General features: G+C 48.5%; 1 protein-coding gene across 35 annotated transcripts in view, besides 1 other annotated feature; it reads right to left on the bottom strand.

The window, feature by feature from the left end:
- MTCL1 (microtubule crosslinking factor 1) overlaps window positions 1–20,094 on the bottom strand; it is a 127,223-nt gene that overhangs the window by 33,273 nt on the left and 73,856 nt on the right. For 20 of the 35 annotated variants that reach the window (XR_002958167.2, XM_024451115.2, XM_024451110.2 and 17 more), the window contains 5 exons: window positions 14,663–15,976; window positions 13,415–13,570; window positions 6,386–6,508; window positions 3,044–3,274; window positions 1,215–1,409 (listed from right to left, as the gene is read on the bottom strand). Coding sequence is in view for 33 of the 35 variants with exons in the window: in XM_024451115.2 (XP_024306883.2) it covers window positions 1,215–1,409; window positions 3,044–3,274; window positions 6,386–6,508; window positions 13,415–13,570; window positions 14,663–15,976 (2,019 nt within the window). In the remaining 2 variants the exon portion in view is untranslated. Of the gene's footprint in view, window positions 1–1,214; window positions 1,410–3,043; window positions 3,275–6,385; window positions 6,509–9,783; window positions 13,394–13,414; window positions 13,571–14,662; window positions 15,977–20,094 lie in introns of those variants that run through there. The other 15 variants (XR_007066128.1, XM_024451114.2, XM_047437395.1 and 12 more) reach the window with 3 other exon arrangements.
- Window positions 8,472–8,995: an enhancer, noted in NCBI's record as "H3K27ac-H3K4me1 hESC enhancer chr18:8790509-8791032 (GRCh37/hg19 assembly coordinates)". NCBI's record gives its function as "activates a minimal SCP1, AML or CMV promoter by ChIP-STARR-seq in naive H9 embryonic stem cells {active_cell/tissue: H9 hESC(naive)}" and the evidence as "EXISTENCE:reporter gene assay evidence [ECO:0000049][PMID:30033119]".

The following is a 20,094-nucleotide window of genomic DNA, read 5'->3' as shown; positions in this document are numbered from 1 at the left end:
ATGGACACTGGCATAATGGCATACTTTCTGATGGCTGTGAATAAAAGTTCCTTTGCAAGTATCATCTCCTCCTTGAGTCATGTTATTCAGGGAGAATGAAGTGGGGACAGGTGTACATAGGAAACAGCTGTTTAGGTGTGAAAATCTGATTGTACAGAGAGGGAGCAGGGGGAACCCAAATTCCCCTCAGCCTGCACTCAGAAGGTTGCCGCCTGTCCTCATCTGGATCTGAGCCAGGGCTCTGGCGACAGCGTGCTCCCATTAGAGCTCCCAGAGGCTCTGGGCTTCGGGAGCCTGGGCCAGGGAGGAGCAGCAGTTGTGGCGTCCAGTGCAGAGGGAGTGCCCCAGAGTGTCTGTGGCTGAGAGGCTAGAGCCGCGCCCATATGACTGCCGCATCCCCGTGGCCACCTGCCCCTGCGCCCTCAGCCCTGAACGCAGGCTTCCTAGGGCAGGGGCATCCAGCTGTACTCCAGGAGCCCCCTGAGCAGCTTTATTATTATTAATACATAATAAAGTTGGGTTAGAGGGGACTCAGAAGCCTGAGAGCGAGACAGCGTTAACACAGGGTCCTGCTCTGGAGCTCCTTACTCCAAATCCTCCGTCACTGCCATTTTGGTATAAAAATGCAAGCAGTTTGGATGTTATTAGTAGCATCTTTTGCTTTATTAAGTAGAGTCTATTTCTGTGGTCTCTGGCAACAATAACAGCTACTTAATAACACTGAAGTCTCACCTCTCTTTATACATTAATTTTTTTCAAAGTGTCATCAAATACTTTTATTTGGGAGCATTATGTTTCAAGTGGGCCAAAGAGAACTTGAAATATTTTGTCCATGTTGGGGGATTTTTTTTAAAACGTGTCCTTTGCTCCTTGTACGTTATGCTGCCAAACGAATGATGTTGCCAATGGCAGACCCTCTGAGGTCAATTCACTGGCCCCAGCAGCGACACGCAGCATTGATCTGCCCTTACTACAGTCCTTATTTATATGGCAACTCAAATGAAAGAGTGGGCTGACATTAAGATGGAAAAGGTTTGATGAGGTGATTTCTAGGAAAAACCCAGCATCACAAATGACAACAGGTGACCGCAGTCAGGCGGTGGAATTTTCTGCTACCTGAATGCCAACACTGGAAACAAAACGACCCAAATGCAGCTTAGGAGCCTCCTCTCCCTGGTGTGGGCAGGGCGACAGGCTCGGGTCGAGGTACCCACCTGTTTGTGGGGCTGTCCCCTGTCCGCGGTCTGCAGCCGCAAGCTGTGATCTCCAATCTGCACCCGGGAGTGTGGGGAGTGCTCCCCCACTGGAAAGCCACAGCCTCGGTCACTGTCGTGGTCTGGGCCATCCGCCTGGTGACCCCCCTGGACTCCAAGCTCCCCGAGCCTGGAGAGGGTCTCTGGATGTTCACCCTGAAACAGGCAGGAGGTGACGATCACAGCTTCAGCCAAATTCTTTTGCTGTACAGCCTGATTTTCACTGTCTGAGGATAACCATCTACTTTATGGATTATCAACGCCTATACTTCTCAGTCCTTACCCCTAAAATGCTCATTTTGGCCATCTCACTCATTGGCACTTGCTGCATTTAAAGACCACAGGGTGGATGCTCAGCTTATTAGAAGACATTAGGGAGAAATTTTAATTCTACTGCTTTTAAATTAGTATTGCTAATAGCTATGGTTTTATAAGTTAAAGGAGGAGGAACTCCAGAGTACTGATCAACAGGAAACTTTAAAACAATTTCTAGGCTTTGCTTAATAATGGTTATCTATGTCACGGATAGTTGGAAGCTGGCGGAATTAGTTTTTCAAGACTTTCTTCACTCTGAGGAAAGAGAATCACTGTATTTTCCCATTCCTAGGATGAGAACTTAAAATTACATACACTGTTCCCTAGAGTGAAAACCAGACAAAAGGTCTTTGGGAGCTAAAAAGAAACCAAGTATTCACAATGCCTCGAAGCAGCTGGCCAAGAAGCCAGGGTCAGTGATGTACAGAATACACAGAACGCCAGTGGCGCCAGCCCCGGGTGTGCCAGGAAGCAAGGCCAGGAAGGAGCCTGCAGTGCAAACGGCCACTCTGACTTAATCAATACAAAAGCAAACAGAAGGCAAAGATCTCGCTTCTGTTTCTATTATAAACCTGGGAATCGAGGCATAACAGGAAGAACATATACAAATTCCAGAGGTGGCAAAGTGACTCATCTGAAGCTTAGAAAAGATCCTTTTAAAACTGTGTGGGCAGGACAGGCTTCCACATCTAGGAACAAAGCTCAAATAGAAAGAAGAGCAAAAGTTTTAGAAACCAGCTTTTACACACCAGCAAGGTTGAATGAGATGGCGCAGGACCTCAGGGTGATAACGTCAATGAATTTTATAAATGAGCAGCAAAGGAGACGGGAGCGGAACTTTGCTACAGCACGGAGTTATGGACCAGGGCACTCTTAACACTAGGTCAGAGCGTAGCACAGAATTCTTGGTTTCATATATAACTGGACAAGCTGCTGCATTTCCATTTCTTGGACCAAAATTGATGAAATAATTTACAATAATAATGACTTCACCACAATGCAAAATATCCATGTGGAAAACTGCAATTGTATCCCATGAATATGTACAAATAAAAAAAGAAAGAGTAGACATTGAGTAGGCAACCAACAGCACCTGCCTCTGCCAGTCCCTCACTCATGAACATCATGCAGGTTTCACAGGGAAGTCTGTAGTTTTCTTCATGTCATTCCTGCACTATTCTCAGTAAGTTTATGCCTAGCACTGCATACCTGCTCTTGCTACTGTAACGTTACTTCTGTTATATCTGCTTGTGTATAGGAAAATGATTGATGTTTCAGTCACCTGTGCTCAATTTTCTCTTATCTAAGTGTCTGTATGAATTGCTCTACATCTTTTTTGCAATATTAGATGTTAACCAAATATTGAGAAATAAAATAATAGAACATGACTGTGTGTAGGGTGGGTGAGGAGAAAGCAGTGTCTGGGGTCAAGGACAAAACAGATGCAAATAAAAGGAATTCGACAGTGGAGTTACCTCAGTGAACTCCTCTCCTTCCTCCTCCATCTGCTTCCCTTGCCGCCAGTGTTTCAGCAGCCACCTGAGTTTGACGTAGAAGAGGAAAATGTTCTGCTTCAAGGACCGGAGCTCCTGCTGCATCAGATTCTTCTCATCACTCCAGGTTCGCTCATGGAGGGTGTTTTGCAAAGCCAGGCTGTGCATTTCCAGTTCTTTCCACCTCAAGGCATAGAGGTGCTCCTCCTCCATCTTGAATGGAATAAGAGAGACAGTGTGACAAGCAGCTAATCCAATCCGCCACCCAAACCAAACCAAGAGTCCCTGCAAACTGCCACTCAGTCTCTGTCATGCTGCATATGAGACGTGAAACACAGGAGTCCCCAGAAGTTCAGTTTGATAAAGGGCTTCAGTTTCCTGTTTACAAAACCTCATGAGTATTGCGATTCAGAATCAAGTGCTATTTCAAAATAAGGTATTATGATCATTTTTCATTGCCAAGTCTCTCATGGTGTTTTTAGATGTCTCTAAACTCCTTCAGGAAAACCGTGTCTTGGAAGTGCGGCTTACCACTGACTTGAATCCGGTGTAAGCAGATTCCACTTCCCCTCTGTACATGAGCTGGGCACTCAAACGCACATTACAGTTGTAAAGGAGAAAACAAGTGGAAATCCTTCCCCTCTACTTCCTGAGCCCCCTGACTCCCCACAGCCCCGACAGAAGAGAACCCCAGCTGGTGGAGAGCACAGCAGGCTGGGTGGAAGGAATTCTTCCGAATATGCAGGCCTCAACTGCATACAACAGCCAGGAAACAGAAAAGTGAGTCTGATAGCCTATTTCCATGCTGAAAGACTTGACATTCCTATTAGATGTGCATATCTCTTAGGAAAAGAAAAGTGTCACTGAAAAAGAAATATCTGGCATCTCCACATTAAATTCCTGTTTTTTAAACACCCCCGGTATAGACACTTTTTCAAGCAACAATTATTGTGTATCAATACTAAAAAGTAAGCGTGAATAAAATATCACTTTGCACATAAGGCACAAGAATAACATCTATAAATATTTATAGTAGCTAAAGTGATACTATGGGATCAAAGCTTTGTGTTCCATAGGCCAATAAAAGGTTCGAATGCCAGCCTTAAGGTTATCAGCTGTCCTCTCTTAACACTCTCTCTTATGCCAAAAACCAAGTAAGGGATTTGTTTTTCTCCTTAAAGTACTAGATTAATTCTCAGAGGCCATGGGAATAGAACCACAGCTGCCCGAGGCCAATGTGCTAAAGGCCAGTGAAGAGTCAGAGGCAGCTCTGGAAAGGTCCATAGGTCTAGACAACGACTTGCGTGGCCGCTCACCTAATACCTGACCTTTACTGTAGTTTTGGCTGAAATAACAGAAAACAGGTGATTTTATTCATCATCTCAGCAGCCCTCAGCATTCCACCGATTCTCCCCTGTGGACACAAGGGCAGCCTAGCGTACCAGACACCCAGCATCTGCAATTTCCTATTGATAAGGCAACGTGGTCTTTTTTTGGGTGGGGGAAGTGTATTTAACATTTCACACTGAAGATGTAACGGTCATGGGATCTTTTGCACCATCTGGTCTGAGTTAGGTACATGACAATAAAAGAGGCAGTTAATCTATAACAAAGATCAGTAATTAAAAAGAAGGGAGGTCTGGTCTCTGGTCTCTTAGTCATTTACAGAACAAGAACAATGAGGAACAGAGTTCACCTATAATCTAAGAAACAAAACTGCAAACATGTTCATGACTCAGTCTCCAGGACTTAACTTTGCCCTTGACATAATCAATTTAGAGAGTCCTGTAGTTTTATTTTCTTTTACATGTCTTAGCCAACTGACTCATGCTGGGCAAGCTTCACTGGCCTCAGGGGCAATGTGAAGGTAACGTGAGACCCTTCCCCGCCTGGCTGTGGAGAGGCGCTGAGACACCCGGACCCGCACCACGGGAGGCAGCATCAGCAGCACCGCGCCTAGGCCCTCCTGGAGAGCCTTCTTTTCTCTCCCTCACATCTCCACTGCCCTTTCCAGTTCCTTCTGTTCCATGGCTCCATGAACTTCCTAATTCTCAGAGCTCAGTCTTCTGCCCCCTGGGTACCTTGGGGGACACTTTCCCTTCCCTTCTGAACAAGCCTGGAGGACATCTCCTACCATCCGAAGCCTCTTCCGCAATACTCCTTCATCATTAACCCACATACTAGAAACACGTGGGCCATGGACACTGTGCTAGCAGCATCTTCAGTGATAAACTCACTTTTCAAACAATTTTTGGTGCCATGCAAACATTTTTTTAATTACTTAGGAATCTATCTTTCAAGTAATATGGAATTATTTTCCTCTGATAATAAGATGTGCAACTTGACCCCTAAATGAAACACTTAAAAAGAGTCATACATGTAGTGGTAGAAGTTGGCAGAAAGTATTTACATCTTGGCATTCGGCCCTGCCTTCCCTAAGCTGCAAGGTGCAGAGAAGGAGCTCACTCCCTTAATCAGTTTGTGACCCATTTAAATCACATGGCCTCAGTCAACATGGGGGCTTATGTGTAGCACACATTCCTTGCCAAAATAAGTTCTTAGATATACCAGGACCTTATTTGGATAGGATATGCATTTTAAAACACCAACGTGCTCTATTCAAGATCAACCGCTTTGCTTTGTTTCGTTTTAAAGACATAGCTATCTTTCAAGAACAAATACACGGGGGAAGAGCAGCTGCAGCAATTCTGAACCTAGAGATCTGTTCACAACTTAATTAGATTTGGGGTGGCCGGGATTGGGCTGTTCTCATGGATGTCCAGGGCGACGAGTGCCCACATCTGCAAATCCCTTCTACTCGGAACTCTGGGGAAGGATTTGCAGATAAAAGATAATTAGCCAGTACCAGGTTATTCGAGAGTAACAGAGGTTAATGAGGCCACAGCTCAAGTTGCGGCAGTTTTCCGAAGGCAATGGTTTAGGGTGAGGTTGCTGATTTTTCTATCGGAAAATTCACCCAACATCAGCAGAGGTGACAGACACACTTTTCTGTCCAGTTGCATTTAGGCCCTTACTTGATGTTAGGCTGGTATTGCTGCAGGAAAGTTTAGATTAGGTATGAGGAAGACCTTGCTGAGACCACAGTGTAGATGCTGAAAAGCATGTGCCAGAGCAGAAAAGCAGAGTTATCTTTAGGGGTGTCTGAGAGGGGACAGCTTGACTGGGTGACCTTTCCATACGTGCCCAGGAGTCTAGCAGCCTGTACGCAACAGACAGCCTTCTTTGAAAATGTATCGTGGCATTTCTCCTTTGGGGCTCTGCAGTTCACAAAGCGGTTGTGCTGAGTCCGTGTTAAATATTTACCTTATGGATCTTGTTTGTAAATGTCTCTGTCTCCTCTTGATGCAGTCTGGCCGCCTGCACGAGCTGACCCTGTAGCTCCTCTATGGATACACTCTGCTCAGGTAAAACGGGGGGGCCCCTGAGCTGATCGGTGGGATAAAGGAAGGGGTTTAGTGGAAATGAGAACTCTGCCTGAGGTGACGACGCAGGACAGACATCTGCACAAGCTGGGGACGCACACGGAGCGACACAGCATGTGTGGGCACTGCAGCAGTGGAGTGACTGTGGCAGCTCCGCTGGGGCCTCCCTCTAGACTCCACAGCTCCCTGCGTTACCTGGGGAGGGACAGTTCCACCTGCCCTGCATCTCTTACCCAGGAGGGGAGTGGGCAGCTTCACCCACCACCATAACCACAAACCAGACTGAGAGAAGGAAGTCAAAGTACACCAGAGGTGTCCTTGCTCCCACAGTGGCTTCTGGACGCCGGGATGGTCAGAGCCGACTATGACCGAGGCAAGCATGACCACCTATTACACGTCAGCCTCTTGGATTCCTTCTCTAAGTCATGGGGTCTTTCTGTGTTGCATAATTAATTTTTTCATATGCTTTCTTATTAGAGTTTTTCCTTCTCAACCGAGGGTGTCTTTATCAAGGTGGTCTGACACCGATGCTCAGGGCAATAGGGTGGGGGTTCATCAATGAGCAGAGATGCACGGCTTCAGGCCTCCCAACGGCACATGTTGTCTACAGGGAATCGCACAAAGATGTACTTACTACGTTTAAAGACAGGTGGTGGAATCTGTATCATGATTTTTATTGGTAAAGTCTACCTTTTATGTTCTAATGCCATGATAGAGGAGTCAGGCACATGAAATGTGCTTTTTAGAGATGGAAACACTCTTATGCTAAAAATCTCAGGCATCATCGAAATGTAAGCATGACATTTTACCCACTGGATTATGCTACTTGAAGACAGGTGATTTATACAACTGGGAATTAGAGTAGATTGTTGCAATAAAATACGTGCGGTTTCACTGGTTCATTCTGAGTCCCTTTAACTTATCTACTACTTCTCCCTGAGGATACTGTTTGTTCTTCCTAATCGGTACCTGGGTAGTCAAGAGTGAAGATCATACCCAAGAACAGAAAATGCAAAAAATAAAAGAGCAGAGCACCTCCCTTAGTACTGGGGATATGAGAAAGGGGTATTAAGGAAAGAAGAACGGAGACAGAAAATCAGACACTGGGGATTCACCAAGTTCAGCATAAAACTTTGAAAGCTAGAGATTTAAACATCTTATTTTCAAAAAACTCAGTAATTTCTGACAGCATTAAATGCTTCTTTGATTTGCTAGTTGTTTGAGACTACTATAGTCTCTTATACATATTCAGCATTGTTTGGGGTTCTCTGAAAAGATGCATTTCCCTACATGTTGAATTGACCTCAATGACTAATTTTGCATTTCCAAAAGGTCTATTATTTAGAAAATGTGTGGTCTTTTATGATGGTGACATACTCTTCTCCTGTTTGCTTGCCTTTAATAGCTGTGTAGGCACTTATCTGATAGCGTCCATCTGATAATTCTATTACCTGCAGTCTTAGGGTTGAATCCTGCTATTTGCCGTGTCTGCCAACTTGTGTCCCTGTTGGACGTTACTGGCTTGTGTGACTTCATCTCCCAGGGGCACTTATCTATGGATCTAGTATGGATTTGGGTGGAGGATGTGCCTCCAGATTGGTTTCCTGTTTGGTGGAGCTAGCAACATAACATAAATCCCTTTCTTTGGGGATTCCCGGACCAAACTGGTAACATCAATTCAAAGCCTGACCTTGGGTGAGGCCAGCTTCAGTCCTCCCACTCCTGATCCAGAGGCTCATGCTGGGGAAACAAGTATCAGTGCTGCCTCCCTGCTCCCTGCCCTGGGGCCAGCAGGCAGATGCTTCTCTTGTTCATTCATTTCCTTTCTTTCCCTGCAATGTTGGGCCCAGGCCCCATCTCCTGTTCCCTTGGAGCTGCTGAAACCCAAGGCTCCCAGTTACCAGTTCTGGCAACAATCTCCCTAATCCACCCACCCAAGGGCCACAGAGACCACTCTGGTTCTCAGTTCTTTGTTTGCTTGTTTTTTGAGACAGGGTCTCGCTCTGTCGCCCAGGCTGGAGTGCAGTGGCGTGACGTCGGCTCACTGCAACCTCCACCTCCCAGGTTCAAGCGATTCTCCTGCCTCAGCCTCCCGAGCAGCTGGGATTATAGGTACCCACCATGACACCCAGCTAATTTTTGTATTTTTAGTAGAGATAGGGTTTCACCATGTTGGTCAGGCTGGTCTCGAACTCCTGACCTCAAGTGATCTGCCTGCCTCAGCCTCCCAAAGTGCTGAGATTACAGGCGTGAGCCACCGTGCCTGGCCTTCTGGGTCTCAAATCTAAAATCAATTCCAACTCTTGAAGATTCCCCTAAATTTCCTGGGAATTCAGCGATGTATTTAAGAGGATACTTTCTATTTTATGCAGTGTTTTATTCAATATTTATTGAGCACCTCCAGTGCTAGGCATCATCTAAAGCGTGGGGGATACAGCAGTAAACACAGCGGCCACATCTGCCCTTGGGGCTTCCCTCCTCTCTCAGGTGTTCCGTGCAGGACTGTTTCCAGGTCACCTAGGCTGCTCTCCTGCCAGCTTTACTTTCCAGCTACACATTACTCTATAAACTCAAAATGTAAAAATCCTTCTTATTTAATGCATTAGGTGCTAGCCAAAAGCTTTATTAGGTGTAAAAACAGACATCCTAATCAAGCTTATTGTTTAAGAAAAGCAAAGATCTATTAGTTTAGTTTCTATACATTGCATGAACTATTTAGTTTGGTTTTAATTTTAATAAATAATATATATGTTAAGAAGCCATTTTTATCTGAAACAATATATGAAGCTCATACTTCAGTGTCATTGGATTTAAAACGTGCTCTTCTGTTTGAACCACACCTTTGAAGAGTCACAGAAAGGGAGGTCCTTGAGCCAGTTCACTGGGGAAGTCGGACTCACCTACGATGGCTCCAGTGTTGTCTCTGGAGACTGCTGCCTGCCCAACAGCAGACAGGTTTAGATCCTCCTGATTATCAGAAGTTTCATTTTCCTTTATTGTCCATTTTTGCTAATGCAATATTAAAACTCCCACGGACAACTGCCCCTAGCTGGGATGCCAACGTCACTCCAATGTTACAAAAAACAACATACAAAACGTGCTATGGCAAAAGGTTCAGCCTAGAATTACTCTACTGCCACACAACTGCATACAACCACATACATTTGGAGAAAAGTTTCACATGACACATAAATGTCTTCTAAAAAAATAAATATTTCCCTTTACCACCCAATCCCCAAAGGTTTGATTCTAAAAAAAACCCTTTTTTTGTTCACTTACCTAGGATTCTGATTATACATCAAATTCATCTTGATCTCCCTATTAAAGCAGCTTATCTAAACCACCACCACCCTCACTTGTTTCCGAGGCTGCTGAGACACTAGTCTTGACAATTGTAACCATTCTCCCCACGTCAGTGTTCCGGAACTCCCGTCCATGTCTTCCCCAATAGAGCTGCATCCCACACTGATTGACAAAGGCTAACTTCCCTACCTCCAGAGAAAGTGGCTTACAAATTACTTCCCACACTTAAGAAGATAACTTCACAATCTCAAACACAAACAGAAAAGGAAGGCTTTTCATGGCCATCACTAGAGTGCCTAGCAATGCTACTCCTCTATTAGGACAATTCCATCACCATGACCATGGCTTCATTTTCTGGAGGGTTCCATTTTGTCCTGGCCAGTTTTGCAACCACTTATTTCAAAAGCAGTACATGAGGCCAACACATGAGTGCAAATACTTGGCATAAAACCCCACGTAACTTCCTTGTGGCTGGCATTTCACAGCTGAGGCACGTGGGATTGTGAGTGCTTTGTGTGCTTCCTTGATTGAAGGATAAAAGCAGGCACTGAGGAGAAGAGCTCTTTGAGATTTCTGACCCAGAAACTCAATCCTCTGGGCACAGGCCTGGTCTCCTTTATACCTGAAATCTGACCAGCGTCCGTGCATGGCTACTTCTCATTCAGGACTATTTTTAAGGTGCCTCGCACATTCCAAACCATTCTACACACCACTCTCTCTTAACAAATGTGATTGTCTCACATTTGATGGGAACCCCAGGGAGTGAAGTCAGGGAAGAGTCCAGTGCACAGTGTGAGCATCTCGCTAATATCTCCTGAGAAGAGCAGGCAGCAGAAACACTCGTCCTGAAGTGTTTTTTTAGCAGTTCATTTTTGCGTGGTTGCATTGATGTGTCAGTGGGTGTCCGTGGGTTCTGACTTCAGTTTGCTCTGGCTGTGGCTGTTTATAAGAATGCCGGCCTTGGAGAGGCCGCCCCTTTCCCAGGTTTAGTGAATGGTGGTGTCTGAGCAGCAGGGCTCCTCCACTGCCCAGATTTGCAATCTGCTAACATGTGTCATGTGTAAGAATGCACTTCTTTTTCTCCTCTTTAGCGTTACAACTGCTGCTGCTGGTACAACTATGAGTAGTAGTCACAGTTTTGGTCGGGCCAAAATGCCTCAATCTTTCAAAATAATCACTTATCTTCTTTCCTCTTTCCTCAAATATAAAAATCCATAAGGCAGAAGACACAGAGGCATTTTGTAAGTGCAGCTTGAGGAACAAATCCTTTTTCTGCTTAAATTTGGAAAAGTTTCTTCTTTGATGTCGCTGATACTAGGTGTGCTATTGGGCCCCCTCCCACACCCCTGAGGAGCTACGGGCAGAGAGCTAAAGGGGATCCACACAGGTAGAGTCGTGGTTGGCCTGAGGGCAAAATCCGTGGTTATTTCAAGGGAAATGTAGAAGGGAGCAAAGAAAGCTGCCGGCAGGACCTCCAGCTCCAGCCCTGCCTCAGTCTGCATGAAGGTGTCCATGTTGTCTTTCCCCCAGTTAGTCCGGCGGGGTCTGTGTGAGTCTCTGGCCGGGCTGCTGGGCTGACTTATGGGAGCTTTGTGTACTGTTTCCATTAGAGCCTCATGGGAAAGCAATTGTTGGCAGCAAATTCAGGGATATTCTCATTAAAAGGCTTTTAAGAGTTCTGCCCCCAGAATTATCCATTGTACAATTCTTTAACACAATGTCATATTCAAAGACCAAACTAACAAGGCTGTCAGAGTGACATTCACACCAGGGACAGGGCGGCCTCTCCCGACCCAGGCTCTGCGACAGATCCACATCCAGCTTCTCTAATAAAAGGAAGCACTGTGGAGATTCAAAGTGGCTCCAGAACATGCCTTATTAAAAAATAAAATAAAATAGGATGTGTTTGCAGCATAATTGAGTTTTCTTTTCTGTGTGAAATGTCTTTGTGAATAAAAAACATCAGAATGAGGGATGTTTGCTTAAAACTCCTGATTCATACTGCTTCCCCTTCTAGGAAATGACGCTCCCTAGACCTGGCCTTTCACTATGGAGATTTTTAGCTCTCTTGTTAAAATATAGAAAATTAAAAGAAACTAGATGGATGTTTTTAAAAGGTGCCATTCCATGGCAAGACAGCGGCTGTACAATTAGTCGTTAGAGTGACTCTTTAGAAACACACCCAGGGGTCAGTGCAGAGCCGTCCCACTACTGCAGATCAGGCCCCTCCGGGGATGTGCTGGGGAGCGGGGGCTGCAGCTGGCTGGAGGCTGTTCTAGACCCAGTTCTGCCACCAACCAGGAGGAGGGCTTACTGGCAAGCCGCTTCACTTCTCAGGCCTCACTTTTCTCATCCGCAGAATGAGAGACTTCATCTGAAGACCTGCTGTTCCCTTCTGAGCTGCATTGTTTGGAGATCCTGTGCTGTCACATGGCACCAGCTCACTCTGCTAATCTACTTCTTGTGAAGCTTTATTGCTCCTCAGTATTTGGTTTGCTTCAACTAAGTATGCTTCTCTCTCCCAAATCACTCCCAGTTTCTGAAGCTATGCGATGCATTCATGATGGTGACAACTTATCACTGCTCCAGGTTACACAATAAGGACCTAGGAAGAATCCAGGAGGAGAGCTCTCTGACACAGGCTCTAACTGCACACAGCTATGTGTGACACACCTTGAAGGACGGAACACTCGGGAAGGGAGACGCACTTCCTGTAAAACCAGCCATCAAAGGGAAGGGGGCCGCCCTGTGTAGCCGGAGCTGTGGTTCCAGAAACAGCCCATGGCAAAGAAGAAAGAGCTACAGTGGGAAGGGAAAACTGGGCCCCTGACTAGGCGGGCTGTGACACGCTTTCCCCCTTGACAGTCCCCAATGGCAAGACATTGCATTCTCTATTATTCATACTTTACACTGACACAGCATTTGGACTTTTAAAGGTGCTTCCTCATTCAACAGCTCCTCGGGGATCCCCTCTTTCTGTCCCGGGTCGGGTGACCCGCATCTAAGAGCTTTCACTCTTCCAGGCTGCTGACAACACTTCCAACCATGGTCTCTGTGGTGGCTGAAGCCTTGTGTATACCGGGTTACTGTGGTGACAGACACTGCTAGGGGTGCCCACAGGTCAGGAGCGAGCCTCCCTGATTCTACCAACCTGCCAGCAGTGTCACTCGAGACCGTGGGATGGTCACATGAGACACAGGCAACAAAGAGCTGAAAAGGGGAACTCTAAGGAGAGTTTCCTCCAGAGCAGGGAAGCCCGTGCTGGGTTTTCATCCCTTCTTTCTCTGCGACTGGACAAGAAGCCACTGCGCACTCACCAATCAGCCTACTTCCAGGTGCTCCCGGTCTGCGGAAACAGGAGGTGGACAGTGCCTACAGTGAGCTGTCCCTCTGTCTGACGAGCACAGCAGTTCACCGCAGGCACCTGCGCACACCTGCCTGTCCCAGTGCCACAAAATGGGTTTGCTGTCAAGTGAGTTCCACCTAGTTCCACCTCCTCCTGCCATGTTCCCTCAGGGCCTCGTCCGGGACAGAAAACGTCACACAGCCAGCCACACAGAAAAAGGAGGGGGAGGGCGGGGGGGGGGGATTGCTTGCCCACGCTGACCTCCAGGCTGAAGCAGGTCTGGCCTCCCAGCCCGTGGCTCCCGGTGTCCCCGTCTGCGCGGCGGTGCAGCTCCCGCGCGGCTCGGAGGCGCAGGCTCTCCCGCTCGTCCCCTCGGGCCGGCCCGAGCTGCCACTCCAGCTGCTCTTTCAGTCTGGACTGTTAGGTGCACGGGAGGAATTTGTTGTTGTTGTTCTTTAAAATTTTAAACAAAAAAACAAACAAACAAAGGACAAGGGTGGAGGCAGGGAGGGGGGATAAAGAAAACAAAAATGGACAAGGGAGACGACTGAGAAAACGACCAAAGAACAGCACGAACAGAAACACAGGCTTAAAGACAGTGGTGTAAGAAAGTGAAGAAAACAGACCCAAGATGAGGATGAGCAAAGGGGCGGGTGGACACATCTGAAAAGCAAAAAGAGAAAGTGGGGGTGCAAAACACTGGTTACGGGGCACATGCGATGGCGATGCGTGAATCCAGAACTCAACCGCAAGCACGCTACCCGTGAAGGAAACGGAAAACGAGGCTCTTCCTTCCTTACTTGTGGGTCGAGCAGCCAAAGCCACAGTCCAGGGCGGCAGCTGGGCCATGCACCCAGGCGAGGCTAGGACAGCAGTCCTCGGAGACCCTCCGCGCCCTCCCCAGCGGCGGCAGGGCGGCAGGAGCCAGCAGAGCTTTTCCACCAAAACCATCCTTCTCAGCACCGTGCTCCTCGCCCGCTTTGGCTGATCCTCCAGTGGGAGTGGGGGCCTGGGCTGCCTAGGGCCTTGGACTGCACTGTGTCCCTTGAAACACACCCAGGAAGGGACGTGCTCGTTAGCGAGTCTGCTAATTATCCTGACTGTGACATGCGTTTGTCTTAGCCTCCTCACGGCTTCTTCAGCGGGTGGCTGGTTGGTTGAGATACCAAGAGAGGAGCAAGGCCGGCATGCGTCGAGCCCTATCGCTTCCACTGGGCTCAGCCTCGTGTCTGGGAGGGCCTCTAAACCATGAGCCGCGGCGCAGTTAAAAATAAGACAGGAGAAAGGAAAAAGAAACAAGGCAATACAAGAGAACTTAAAAAAAAAAAAAACAAAAAAAACGGAGCCCAACCAAGAGAGAGGATCCGGTTGCCCCGGAGGCTTTAGTACAATGCAGGTTTGAAATCATAACCAAGCAGCCGTGAGCAGCGTGAGCCCGAGTGCAGCAATGCCAGCGAGAAGGAGGAAGAGCAAGGCGGAGCAGGGAGGCGAAGCCACGAGCCCCCTTACCTGCAAGTCTGGGCCCAGCTCCTTCCCCAGGTTCCCGATGGGGGAGTCCCGGGACACGGAAGTCACAGTGGAGAGGAAGCTAGAGGACTCTGTGAGGTGGGGCAAGGGGGATAGGCCATCCCCAATGCGGTTCACCTGCTCCAGGAAGGCCTGCAGCTCTTTCTTGAAAGCCTTCATCTTGGCGTTGATGGTCCCCAGCAGCTGGGGCTCCTGCTGGTCCCCCTCACCCTGCTCCTCTTCGCCCTGGAGGCCAGGCCCCGGTAAGGGCGCACCACCCCGCAGCCCCGCATCATGGAGGAAGCTGTCGGTGTCCGTGATGAGGCGCTCCACCGTCCGCTCTAGCCGCTGGGCCTCGTGTTTTAGGGTCACTAGGTACTCAGAGTCCTCCCGGGCCTTCAGGAGCTCCGTGGGGCATGGCTCGCTGGCCTCCGATGGCTTCCCGCTCCCGAAGCCCGACGTCTTCTCAAACATTTCCTCCGAGTCACTCTCCCCGCCAACAGGCCCTTCCCGCTTGGGCTGGGGCAGGCGGCTCTCCTCCCCATCACTCTCCTTCTTGCCCGCATCACTCTCGGCATCGCTGTCCCGGGGACTGGGGGCACGCAGCCCCAGGTGGGCTGCCAGGTCGCAGCGCTGGATGTTGGACAGCAGCGCGTGGTTCTCGTGCTGCAGTTTGAGCACCTTGCCGCTGAGCTCGCTGATCTGCAGCCTGGCTGACTTCAGCTCCTCCTGCAGGGGGGCCCCACCCCCGGCACCAGGACTTGCACCCTCTCCTAGCCAGCCCGGCTCCCGGGGAGGCTCAAACTTAAACTTGCTGAGCTCGTGGGTCAGTTGCCGGTTGTGGTCTTCGATCTCGGAGATGGACCTCCGGAGCAACTCCGCTTCCTCTTCTACAAACTGCAGGTGGCGGCGGAGCTCAGTGGAGGACTCCAGGGAGTCACCGAAGGGTGAGGTAGGAATGCTGGGTGCGTGGTCCCGACCCGGGCCCTCCCGCTCCTGCTGGCCCCGCATGTCCTCCATCTCTGCCTTGAGGCCACGGTTCTCCACCTCCAGCTCCACGATCTTCCGGCCCAAGATGTTGGCTTCCTCCTCCACCAGCTTTAGCCGCAGCTTCAGCTCGGCCTCCCGGGTGCTGGGGGGCCCGCCTGCTTCCCCCGTGGGCAGGGGACTGTCCACATCCCCATAGAGGGACTTGTACTTCTGGAGCTCCTGCTCCAGCTCGTCCTTCTCCCTTCCTAGCTTGGCCATCTTTTTGCGCATCAGGAAGGCTTCCTCTTTGGCAAACTGGAGCTGGCACCTCAAATCGGCACTGTCATCCTGCCAGGAGAGAACAGCCCGGGAGAAGGGTTATTTGAAAATACCAAATGTTCGTGTTTTTCATGATTCCCCTCACACCTCGCCCCCAATGCACACAAACATCAAACACCGATCTTCCCATCGGTGCCGCTGAGTTACATAGAGAAACAGCCAAGACAAAGCAGAGGTGGGCCCAGGGGCTTTGTGGAGGGGGCCTGTGAAAGGCCTACAGTTTGTTGCTTTGCCACAGAAGCAAAAGAAACAAAAAAAAATTAGTTTGGAAAAAAAAAAGTGCACGTGGAAACCATCATACAAGTTATGGGCAAAGAAGGGAAAACGAAATGAGGCCCAAAACCCAGCGGGAATGCGCAACCCCTCCTTGCTCTCTGGATCCCACCTGGTTACTCACCAGCACCAGTGAGAGACAGCAGGACCCCTCACCAAGGCCTGGTGCAGGCAGACAGGGTTCCACCCTGCTGCACTCACCACCTCCAACGTGCAGACCTCCCTCTTTCAAAGTGGCCCACAATCCACAAGGTCTGACCAGGATGGGGAAGTCAGGCCACCCCAAATGAGAGCTCAGCTTTCCCCTGGTTTCCTAAGGTACCTGAGACAGGGCAATTCGCTTCTCCCCATCCCGGTCTCCCCAGCCCTAATGTCCCACAAGAATGACATGACAAAAACATGAGGTATGAGCATGAAGGTGTTTGGAAGTCCAGGCACGTACTGAGTCAGTACCGAGCTCTGGGTACACACTGGGTACTGCAGACCCAGACACCTGAGCTCCTTGCAGCCTCTTGCCATGCAAGTGCAACTTCAGAGCCTTTACTTACGTTCCTTTCCCTTTAGTTGCTATAACACAGCAGGAAATTAAACCCAGAGACCCAAGGCAAGGAGGTAAGTGTTGGATAGAGTCAAGTGTATCAAAACCTAAGAAGTGTCCTCATAGGGCTTCCAGAGGGTTCTGGAGGATCCTCAAAAGCTGACTCTGCTGTTCACAGCCTGCAATGCTTGGCTGAGGTCAAAACGGCACTTTTTGGGTCCAGTGGAAAGTCAACGCTGCTTTGCAGGGCTGGTCTCCTTGTTTTGAAGCCAGATGAACTCCCCGTTTTGGTTTTGCAAAAACGTTTTACTGTTCACATTCAGCAGATGGGAAAAATAACCGATTTCACGAATCACTCCTCTTTGATCGGCCATCAAAAGTTTCAAAAGGCTTCAGCAAAGGTTTCCCCCATCACACAGAGAAACTGTCAACAACAGCACTGCGGGAGTCAAATCCCACAGCCCTCGTGGAGGAAAAGGCTTCAAACTGCTCTCCAGGCCTGTCGCCCCTTCTGTGGAACAAGTCAGCCCCCGGGGGAGAATTAACTCCTTCGGATCGTCACGTGTGCTCACAATGCAGCTTTTACACTCAGAGAGCATGGCTCGTTCTCTGCCGCAGTCTGGTCGCACACTCATCATTTGGCAGAAAGAGAAATGCCTCCCTCGGCGCCTCCCAACTTTCCTCCTTCCACTCTACCTGGTCCCTCCTTGCTCACCACAAACCCCATGGAAAGGGGGAAAACGATATGACCAGGAAGGCTCAGCCCAACACCTACGACCAAGTGTGCAGCCACTGCCACAGGGAAAGCTTGCCCTGGCGCTATCTGTGCGTCCTCGGGAGGATGACACGCCCACTGTCATCTCTTAGCTGAGGACAAAACCAGGCCTGCTGGACTTGGGGTCAAACATGCTGCCCGGAGTCCTAGCTTTGCCCCTCCTACTGTCTAAGGGACCTGGGCTCATCACAGAGCCCCGGTGAACCTGTCTCTTTGTATCTAAAGCAGGAATGCTCACTTAACCACAACGTCGTTGTGAGGGTCAAATGAAATAATGGTCTGTATATGATAAATCATAAACCTAAAAAGTGTATTTATTATATATAAACTGGTTTGTGTATGATAAATCACCATGCTCTAGCTCCCTGAAATTAATTTTCTTATTTGTCTGAAACACAATTAGTATTGGGTAAAGGAGCCGGTAAAGAGTCTTTTTCCTTCTTTGCACGTTAGGAGAATAACATATAAATGTCACATGGTCTTTGAGTTCTGAGAACTTATCACATGAAGGATTTGGTTGGGTTTGGGTTAGGTAGACATAAAAAGCAATCCTGTGACTAACTTGAAGTAAGGCTGTCTGCCCTACTCACAACTACTGAGGCAAATGGGCTATGCTATCATCGCTGCTGGGGTAATGACGTATTTTTTGAAAGAACCTACACAGAATACATGGGCTGTAAAAGGCATACGTTGTGTTTAATACTAATACTAGAGGAAAAGCATGCTCGTTTATCTGTTCATTCATTCTTTTTTTTTTTTTTTTTTTTTTTTTTGAGATGGAGTCTTGCTCTGGAGTCTGCACTCTGGCTGGACTGCAATGGCGCAATCTTGGCTCACTGTAACCGCTGCCTCCTAGGTTCAAGCAATTCTCCTGCCCCCTGCCTCTGCCTCCCGAGTAGCTGGGACTACAGGAGTGTGCCACCATGCCCAGCTAATTTTTGTATTTTTGGTAGAGATGAGGTTTCGCTATGTTGGCCAGGCTGGTCTCAAACTCCTGACCTCAGATGATCCACCACCTCAGCCTCCCAAAGTGCTGGGATTACAGGTATGAGCCACCACACCTGGCCTTGTTCATTCATTCTTTCAGGAAATATTTATTAAGTACCTAGTATGTACCAGAAGTTGGCATGTTACTTTTAAACAACCCCAGCTTCTTAGAACTTTCAAAAGTACAGCAAACACAAGCACCTTTTCAATTTTTGTTAAACACAGATTTGTAAGAAATCCAAATACATAGACAGGTCTTTGTTGTTCCCATGAAGGAATGGAGTTTAAGCTAAAATATCTATCAATGGAAATGGATTGTAAACACTTAAAAGCTTGGGACCAGAAAACAGGGGAGTGCCCTCAGCCCCATTGTTAACTTGAGAGCCAGTGTCTGTCCATTGTCAAAAATCATCTAAATGATCCCATCTCCACCTCTAAAGCAGAGAAATCCACAGCAGCAGAGATCACAGAGGGCAGCATTGTCCAGCTGCAAGGAAACTCAGCCCCACTCTCCACCCTTCTTGAGCCTGGGGCTCGAGACTGGGCTGGACAAGGTGGGGGCAGGGCCGCCTGCTGTGACCAGCATCCGTGGAAACTTGCAGCTGGTGAGGCCTTGATGTGGTGGAGCCAGTCCAGGAGGTGCAGGCGAGGGGCAGAGTTGCCTGCATGGTGCGGGAAGCTTTTGGCTCAAACAGGCGTGTGGACCAGGGACTCAGGCAGTCCCACTCTGCCTGGTCCCTCCTTGTTCACCACAAACCCCACGGAAGGGGAAAAATGATATGACAAGGAAGGCTCAGGGTAATACGACCAACCCCTGGGGGTCTTCCCCAACAAGTTGAAGTGAAAAATTGGGGAAGGAGGTAAGATCTCTGAAGGGTCCTGAAACACGCTGGAGGTTATACGTGCTTATCTGCACCCCCTCATGCAGGCAGAAGGTCCCCATAGAGCCCTCAAATCACCTTGATTTCTGGAAACCTTCAACCTCACACCATCACCCTCTGTCCACCATCCACTACAAATCTATCATAGAACAATTCTCCTCCGTCTCCATGAACCTAAACCCAGGTCAGTTAAAGCAGCAAGATCCTATGACATACTCTAACAAGGGTCAATTTGTAGATTACCTGAGGATTGATAAAATGTCCAAAACGTCTTCTCGTTCCTTAAAGAAAAAAGCTGTCAGCATGACAGCATGCTGTCATTTCTACTTAACAACCACACATGCACTATGAGGCCTGCCACCAAGACTAAAGCAGGGTTTGAAAGAAAGACTGTCCTGGAAGCCATGGGAGAGTGTATATTAAATGAAGGAGTCAGACGTCTTCCGTGAGGTCGAGGCAGCTGGAGCAGGGCCCGCTGCACCTGCCGGGTGTTGTGTACAGGAGAGGGGCGGCCTGAGGGAAGCTGAGCTCGGCCTGTTCTGAGTAGGGGAAGCCACTCCTTCTCATAAGATGTGGAATCACAGCTTCAGCTCAGGCAGCGGGAGGCTGGATGCCCATCTTATCTTGTAACCGTAGACTTCTTAAAACTCTGCCAAGAGTCTAGCGGAGGCGG

This window comes from Homo sapiens, chromosome 18 (genome assembly GCF_000001405.40).
Source record: "Homo sapiens chromosome 18, GRCh38.p14 Primary Assembly".
Taxonomy (NCBI): domain Eukaryota; kingdom Metazoa; phylum Chordata; class Mammalia; order Primates; family Hominidae; genus Homo; species Homo sapiens.
Note: the sequence above shows the minus strand (reverse complement) of the source record. Positions and strands in the feature narration are given on the sequence as shown.